Source organism: Homo sapiens, chromosome 2, assembly GCF_000001405.40.
Source record: "Homo sapiens chromosome 2, GRCh38.p14 Primary Assembly".
Taxonomy (NCBI): domain Eukaryota; kingdom Metazoa; phylum Chordata; class Mammalia; order Primates; family Hominidae; genus Homo; species Homo sapiens.
Window position 1 is genome coordinate 116385220 of NC_000002.12, and position 9277 is coordinate 116394496.

A 9277-nucleotide genomic window follows, 5' to 3' on the forward strand; every position below is an offset into this window, starting at 1 on the left:
GTTAAAGACCAGACTGGCCAACAAAGCGAAACCCTGTCTCTACTAAAAATACAAGAATTAGCTGGGCATGGTGGCGGGTGCCTGTAATCCCAGCTACTCAGGAGGCAGAGGTTGTCGAGATCACACCACTGCACACCAGGCTGGGCTACAAAACAAGAGTCCATCTCAGGGAAAAAAAAATACCCTCCAATATCAATCATTTCTTCTGACTGATCTACTAGTATTCCCCCTTGACCATCTTATTGGCAAATAGCAGGCTGGAGAAGGGCAAAGGTTGAATCTGGTAAATAAAACGTGTCCAGCACAGCTGCAATTGTTACTACCAACACTTGCTGGTAATAATAGCAACAATCAGCCAGGGTCATAGGAGGATAATGAGAATAATATCAGGGAAGAGAAACCTGGCTACTATGGGGAAATTCCCAGAACAGAAGAATTCCTGTGAGCTGAAGACTACCTCATTTATGTCTAGCAAATGTTCATAGTTTTGAATTGAATAGATTACAAGCTAGATTAGAAAAGGCATAGTTAGCAAGAAAAAATTTAATAAAACAGACTCCTGAAAGCAGGCATATGCCTGAGTTATTCCATACGTAGGGTATTCCTCTAGTTATAAAGCCCTCATATAGTCTCTGCTGCTGTAGCTTTTACCCATCTCTGTGGTTTAGTTCAGATACCATTTTTAAAATAAAACTGATTTCTCATAGAAATTAATCTCCACTTTTTCTGAATTCCTATAGCACATTTTGATTCCCACACATTTCTAATACATTCCATTAGTCATTATTAGATTTTATGTAGATATTCTTCATTCATTAATATATTTAAAATCACTTATTAAAGTCAAAGCATGGAAAAATGAAACCACATAACATTATAATAGAAATTAGTAATAATCTGGTATGGTTTGTGGTAGAAGTCAGAATTGCAAAAACAAGTCATGGCTAATTCACAAAATGCTAGGCCAGGCCAAGTGCGCCAAATTAAGGAGTTTGAAATTTTTCTGGAATCCTCAAGCGTTTCTAAAATAAGTAACTATGTATATGTCAAAGTAACAGTATGTCTAATTTGACCTAATAGATTATGTAGTAATTGCAACTAGGTATTATTTTATCCTCATGCTTAAATTTCTCAAGAAACTGGTCAATTACTGTTAGATTGATTCATTTCTTTGTGAAAACAAAACTGAGGCTCAGAACAGTAAGTGATTGCCCATGGTAATGTAGCTAGATGGGGGCACAGATTATGTTCTGTTTCCTAGTTTTGAGCACTACATTACAACCTGATGCAATTTCCCCTTTTTATATTTCTGTTCATGTTCCTGTGCATGGTACCAACTAGTATAATTTCACAGTACAATGCTTAACACCTGCTTTCTGCTAGACTATGCATATTAGTGTATTTTCTTTGCCAAATGAGTCACAAGTGATTAGCAAACGTTAGGGAAATAAACTGAGTGGAAGAAGGGAGAGAGGCATTAGTTCTCATGAGTTCTCTCTATTTACACTCAATGATAAGTCCCAAAATATTTCATCTAGATACAAGTTACATGAAAAAGGAGTCCATGTAAATGAATTGCCCGCCTGAAAAAAATTAAAAAAAAAAAAACCGTATAAGAGTGAAGTGCCATTTGATAATCTACAGTAGAGATAGAAGTTTACAGTTAACATGCTTATATCTTTAGAAATATGTACGTAGAACTTTTGTAATTTGCCTGAATATAATTTTTAATACTTCAGATCTGAGGTTTTCAAACTTTCTCTGTTCACCGTGCCCTTAGTAGCTCAGTAATTTTTTCATAGTACTCCTAAGCCGAAAGAAAGAAATCCTGTTTACTAAGCACTTAGGTACAAATAACTTACGTATTTCCTAAAAAATTAGCAGTCACTTAAAAAAAAAGGAGAAATTAAACACAATTAAACACCATTATTTACTGAAAGTATGTATGGACCTGTTTTCCACTGTAAAACTTTTCAAACCTCAGAATCAGACTGGTGGCAGCCACCCTCATTTCCTGTTTCTTGTTATTGAATTCATAACTCATAATTCATAATTTAATTCATGATTTAATTCATAGTTGAATTCAATTTATAATTCAATTCATAATTAAATCCAATTCATAATTCAATTCATAATTCAATAATTATTCAATAAGCAGGCTTCCACTGTGATTTCCTCATTCTGATTCTCTGTATTGTATATATTAGAAGATAAATTGTTTATCATAATATAAATTTTGCTCCTGCCCCTTGCCCAACTGCTCTATAGAATTTTAGTAATAATTTTATTGATGTAAAAAATTAAAATTTCAGTGAAATAAATTTGTTACATAAATGCATGCTCATTGTAAACTTTAAAATCCAGTTGAATAAAATCCCTCTTAACTTTCTACCCATATCAACTAACTACTATCTACAGGAATGATGACTATTGTTAACAATTTAAGGTATCTATTTTCACTGAAATAATTACATATGTAGATTTAGAAGTATATGGTCACATTGTATATTTTATATTAAAAATATTAGATTGCAAAATTAAAATTTCTTTTCATTTTCCCATTTTGGAGAAATCATTCTATATAAACAGGTATGAACTTACCTGGACCTCTTTTCTGCTGTTTAATACTATCTTGTGTGTTATGCTGGATAACTTCCATTTGTCTCTCCAGATCCAGTCTCCACTCTTCTCCACCCTGCTCTGTGTCCTGGGAAACCGAACTAAAACGACTGCCTAAAAGAACTCTTGATCTCCAATACCTTCCTTGCTCTATGGCTTCTGATTGCATCTGTCAGTGCAGTGAAAGCCACGGGCAGGAGATACAGAAAGAAGAAAAACAAGCCAAGTTGAGGCACTTATTTCCCATCTTCTTGCATACTTGTTTTCTATTTGCCATCTTCCCCTACCAAGGGCCATACCTTTTATCAGGTGGTCTTCTACACACAGCTGTCACGAGTTTCCCATTAGGCCAAGAGATACTGGGAGTTTTCCATTGTTATAAACCCCAGGATACCGTGTTTCCCTTTCTGACTTTCCTAAACTTGTACCCATATCATTGTAAACAATGCCTTTATTAAAATATGTTCAGTTACTTAATTTGAGTGTGCCACTTGTTTTCATCCAAGTCTTTGACTGATGCATGAAGAATTGCTATATGTAATCTTTACTTACACATTTATAACTGTCTACAATGTTTGATATTTTATACAATGCTACATTGAACATCCTTAAACATCTTTCTCTATAAGTACTGTGAGTATTCTTTTATAATGAATATTCTTTTATGGTTGATACCTGGAAGAATAGTTTTGGGGTTAAAAAGTAGCTTCAATTTAAAAATTGATACACATGGCTGAAAGTCCTTCTAAAGATGGAGGAACAATTTATTCTCTCTCTGAAACTAAATGAAAGCATATATTTTTCCATCCGCCCTCACCAACAGTGAATTTTATAAACCTTTCTTAACATGTATAAAATGTTACCTTTTAATTGTTTTAATGTGTGTTCACTGATTAGTAATGAGAAATGACCTTCTTGTAATATGTTTATTAGCCATTGATGCTTTCTTTCTCAATTGTTAATTCAAATCTTCTGCCATTACCATGGGTAGAGGGAATGGCAGATGGAGTGATATGAGAAACAAATGGAGCAGAGCTCAGGCTTTCCAGGCAAAACACAGTAACCAGCCAGCCCTGGCCAATTCACTAACTGAAGGCAAACACCTGAGCAAGCCGAATTCTGATCAGTAATTCTGGCCCAAATCAATGGAACCTCTTGGCTGGTGTGTAGATTTATGAGGAAAAAAAAAAAAAGGCTGCTACTTTAAATCCTCAGATTTAAGTGGTTTGTTAAACAGAAACAAATAATTGATAAAAATCACCTGAATCACTTTTTAAAACATTGTATTTATTTTATTATTTTGCTTTTATTAAACTCTGTACCCTCAAGAATACTGCTTCTCCTGTAAGAGTCTCAACTGGTAGCTGTTTCACTTTCCTTACTCCTGATATCATGGAGATGTGAAAGATACCCTCCATGTCACATCCAATCTCTTTTCTTCCCTTTTCTTTCAAAACTCCTAGCTTCAGTGATGTTCCTTCTTCATCCCTAGGAACAACAGATTTAAATTTGATGTCATCCTGCTTCTAACAAATATCGTAGACACTTAGGCTTCGTCTCACATCCCATAGAATTTTACCTCCCAGTTTACTGGCTGTCTGTCCAACATGACTACCCTCATAACTCTTGAAGCTTTAAATATTGACATGGATAACTCACTCAACAATCATATTTGTACCCTAGAACTTACCATTACTAATAAGCACAAACTTTCCATAATGTCAATTTCAAGAACATTGCTCTCTAATTCCACCCTATCCCTAACTTACATGCTCTAAGATCCCAACACCAATAACCAGAACCTAAGATTTACTGCCCCTCTTGTATTACATCATTCCTCTCTTATTTCTTATCTTCTTTTATATCTTTACCCAGCTTAAATTTCATGGTAAAACATTATAATCAATCCCTTGCCTGTGTCTTCAACTCCCTTGGTAACACCATAACCCTGGTTCACATTCTCTGCATACCCTGAACCTATATATACCTACTTGAGCTTAGTGGTGTAAAACACACTATCATGCTGATTGTTCACATAGAAAAGCATGTTTACCAGCTTCTTACATACTCCTACTGCTGCTCAACAACTGTATTAGGTGTTTCCATTCTCCATTCAATCTGCCATTTTCCAAGACGACCATTTCAGACACTGTCCTTTCTTCACAAACCTCCAAAATCTACACTCTTATCTGATGAGGTCAGCTCTTGCTTTATGAAAAGAATTGTAGCAGCCAAAATATCTTCTAGATGCTTCCACCACTATTACAGCCTCGTAATAGTTTCTATGACAATGTATACATTTTTCTTGTTTCATTAGAAATAAATTATTCATGCTTCTATCCAAAGGCAACACCTTCAGTTGTACAATAGATTCTACTATCACCATTTTCCTGAAGTACATCATTTCTTCAATTTTTGCCTCTGTTTTATTTATTTTTAGGTATGTGCATGATCTTTCACATCTGTGTGAAAGATGTAGCTTTTTCTCTTATCTTAAAACAAATTAAAAACTGCCGATCCTGCCTCTCCCTCTGCTTTATATAAAAACCTGTTTTTTTTTCTTTACAACAACACTCCTTACAACACTTCACTTCCCTCATTTATTTTAATGTTTCTTTTCATATTACCCCTTGAGCCCATTCCAAACAAGCCTATTGCTCTTGTCACTGTAACAGAACTTCTAATACAAGGTCAGCAATGACTTCTTAATCACTGAATACTATAGTCAATTCTTAGTCTTCATCTTGCTTCATCTATCTGCAGTATTTGCCATTCTCATCTTTACAACACCATTTTTAACTTTTTCCGGACTGTCACCGCTCTCCTGGATTTCCGTCTGTACTCTTACTTTGCATTTGCTGCACTGTGTTCTCTCATTTCCTGCTCTAAAAATATTGGAATTCCCAAAAGCTTAGTCCTTGGATTGCTTAAGTTTTAAAAAAATTGATGTGTGTACACTTACCCAATATCATTCAGTCATATATTTTTAAATGAAGTTTTTATACTAGAGATTTTAAAATTTATATCTTGTAACTAGATTTAACACTGATTCAAAGACTTTTATAGTCAACTTTCTACTTGATATGTATACTTGGTTTTCTAATATGCAACTCAAAACAATCATACCCCAAACTTAGCTCTCAGACTCTAACATGTCATCAATACCACCACTTCTTCTTACAATCTTTGCCATCTCAGTTTAAGGCAACTGCGATTTTTATTTTATAATCCTGTGAAATTGTATCTGTTACCTGCGTCTTTGTAGAGGCCAAAATAGGCTTGGCACAAAATATATTCTTAGTGTGATAGATTCTAAAGATATCTTCTTTAAAAGGATATTTAAGATGTCCTCTTAAATGTATTCAATTAACATTTTCTTTGTCCTAACATCAATATTAACACACTTGTATTTTGGACATATGTCTGATATTATTTTATTTCTTTGCTACATCTATTTATGAGTCATTTTATTTTTTAAGATTAAATGTTTTACGCTCTTTTAAACAAAAGAAAAGAACTATTTTAAACCCAGTTTGAAACTAAGTATTTAAATTGTTTTTAGATATTGATTTGATTTGTGATTACTGCGATGTTTAAATCATTTTTAACAACTTCTTTTATGTTTTCTTTCTCTACTTTAAAAAATATTATTCTTGTCTTTTGATGAATTCATGCAGTTATCTTACATTTACTTTTCTCTAATGGTTTGAAAGTTTGACATCTCATTGTTTTTCAAATGGTTGCCCTTGAAATTTTAACATGTGTATTTAAGCTTTGCTACTTCCATGCAATGCATTTGTTAATCATTTTCTTTATATTTTCCTCATATAAATCAAGAATCTTAGCAATTATTTTTCTCTTCCTCCCACCTCTGCCATCTTCTATATCAGCACATTGAAAAGCCTACTCTACATTAAGATAATCAATAAATTAATTCTAAAATAAAAATTCCCATTGTTTTCTTCAAAAGCTATCCTTATTTATGCCTAAGCATAAATTATACTGGTTTTATTGTTCTTCACTGTTTCTTATACAATCTCTCTCTCAGACTTATTGCTCCTTTTTTCAAAATGTATCCTCTAGTAATTCTTCCAGACAGGAGTGGACGGTTGGGAAACATTGTGTGTTGAGGCATGCTTTCAGTGTTTTTATTTTGCACTCATAGTTGAATGTTAGTTTGGTTGAATAAAGAGTTCTAGTAAAATAGTCATCACATTTAGACAGATAATCCTTCAGTCTTGCACTTACTATTACTAATGAGAATTCAGAAGTCTTTCTGCTGTTATTCATTTCATAGCAGCCTCTACTTCCATCCCATCCCATAGAACTTCCAATGGAGTTATCCTTGGTGTTCTGAAATTTCTTTCTGATATGACAATGTATTGGTCATTTTAAATTTGCTTTCTTATTTTAGGTAGACAATAAAATCTAAGGACTTGTGTTTCCTTTTCAGAACTTTTAAAATAACTTTTAAAAAATATGTTTTAACTATCTTCCTACCTACTCTCCCCACTCTGTTGTCACTTTTATATATAACAAGTACTGATGGATGATGGAATTTGATGTATTCTTTTGTGTATTAAATTTTATTTTCTCTCCTTGCCTTCCTCTCCCCTTCCCTGTCCCTCCTCTGTCTTATACACATACACACACATACTGACACACACTTGTGTGATGTATTGTAGAATTCATTGACCAATATCCCAGCTCACTGACTGAATTTAGCTGGGTTCTTTTAACCTCATCTACTGATGCACCACCCAATATACTTTTGATTTTTATTTATCAACTTTCATATTTCTCACTTCAGTGATGTGAATTTAGATTTTTATACCCATAATTGCATTAATATTTTCATAATATTTTAAAGTCTGCCCACATATGTTCTGGAAAACACAAAGTGATTGCACACTGTTTTGTCTTATTCTCCATTTCATTTATAATATCCAACTTATCCCATCACGTTATAAGTATTTTTTAACTTCATATGATTTTTATATCTCTTATATTTTTCCTTTTTTAAATTCACTCTGCATATCTGGAGCTCTGTCTTGTTTGGTTTAGTATCGGTTTTCCAATGTCATTCAAGTAATTTGGGTACTGGAAGAATCGGGTTAATTGATTACAAATATACTGCAGTGCAAGAAATAGGGTTTAATAAATTCAATGTCTCATTTGTTCAAATAGGATTTAATGTTCACTGCCAGTCACACATTGGCTGAAATAATATTTCCCAGAAATAACAAAGGGTCACAACACAAGTCAGAATCGTCATCCTGGGAGAAATCATAGAGATTAAGGTCGCCAAGGAAACTTTTTTGTTATATAATTACTTTTATTTATGTGAAACAAAACCTTGCCTTATCTAGATAGCATATGACTTAGTAATAGAAATTCCTATACAAATTATAATGTGTGTAGCAATTTATATCACTGAAGCAGCCATTGTGAACTAAACAATTAGTACCAGATAATGAGTAATAATTTCAAATGAAGACAACCTAGAATCATCGCTTCATTTTGATGGTGACAGTTCCAGAATGTCAAAGAGATACTAGACCCACAAATGATAATTAAATTACCTACATTCACTCATTTGTATTGCAATAATTAAGGATTTACATGCAAGAAGAACTTAGAGCCCCCACAGTCAGAGATATTGAATATGCAATAATTATTTCATGCCTACCAAATGGCTAGACACAATCTCAATAGCTAATTTAAATCTAATGGTTGAACTAATCAATCCCAAGTTAAGAAAAGAAAAATTGTGAAAAATTTTAAATGGGCTATAACAGAAAGACAAAAAAAAAATTACCCAAGGTAGCCTTATAGAAGTATTGCAATTTCCATTCTAGGAAGTATTATGATTTTTTTTTTTTTTAGTATTTCTTATAAAATAAAAAGAGAGTTAAGAAAATCTGTTTTTAACTTTAGATAGCAATGACCTTATCTTTGAACTCAAAGTCATTGGAAATATTATTGAGTATTGAGATTCACTATTATTTATAAAATACAAATTCAATTGTATTCTATTTGAGGTAAAAATTTGTGGAAAGAAGCTTATGGGCTTGAGAGTACAAGACATGGTTGAAGACGTCACACAGCAAGAGAATTAGTTCCTGTATCAAAGGGGCAAAAGTGAAATTACAAAGTATTCCTGTGGTATTGACTGTCATCAAAGATGAAAATATATAAAAATAAATAGCAAATAAAGTGACATTAGAAACTCTTCAGGATCAGAGTCTTCCCTTGAAGCTACATGTGGGTGAAATGTGAACCTTCACAACGAGGCTTCACTGTAAAGTGAAAGAAAGCTTATAGAAACGAACACATGTTCACAATTATTTGTCTATAATTTTGAATTCCAATATCTGAGATTTTTTTTTTTTTGCATAACCCACTTGGCAGATTAGCACGACCCAATCTAAGGCAACCTAGAATCTTTATGTATATCAATCAGTGTGGGTTTTCACATGTTCTGCTGAAGAAATATCAATGGCCCCGACCCTCCTGTGAACTGTTAATCATATATTGTGTATCTTCCTTTGAGAAAATTTGAAATCTGAACTATAACTTGTTCCAAGTGTTTTAAGAAGAGATGGCATGGCTCACGTCTGTAATCCCAACACTTTGGGAGGCCGAGGCGGGCAGATCA

General features: G+C 33.3%; 1 long non-coding RNA gene across 1 annotated transcript in view; it reads left to right on the forward strand.

The window, feature by feature from the left end:
• LOC105373576 (uncharacterized) overlaps positions 1-2994 on the forward strand; it is a 93637-nt gene extending 90643 nt beyond the window's left edge. Inside the window, exon 3 of the long non-coding RNA XR_923239.2 lies at positions 2672-2994. This is a non-coding gene — a long non-coding RNA (uncharacterized LOC105373576). The remainder of the gene's footprint in view (positions 1-2671) is intronic.
• The last annotated feature ends 6283 nt before the right edge of the window (positions 2995-9277 follow it).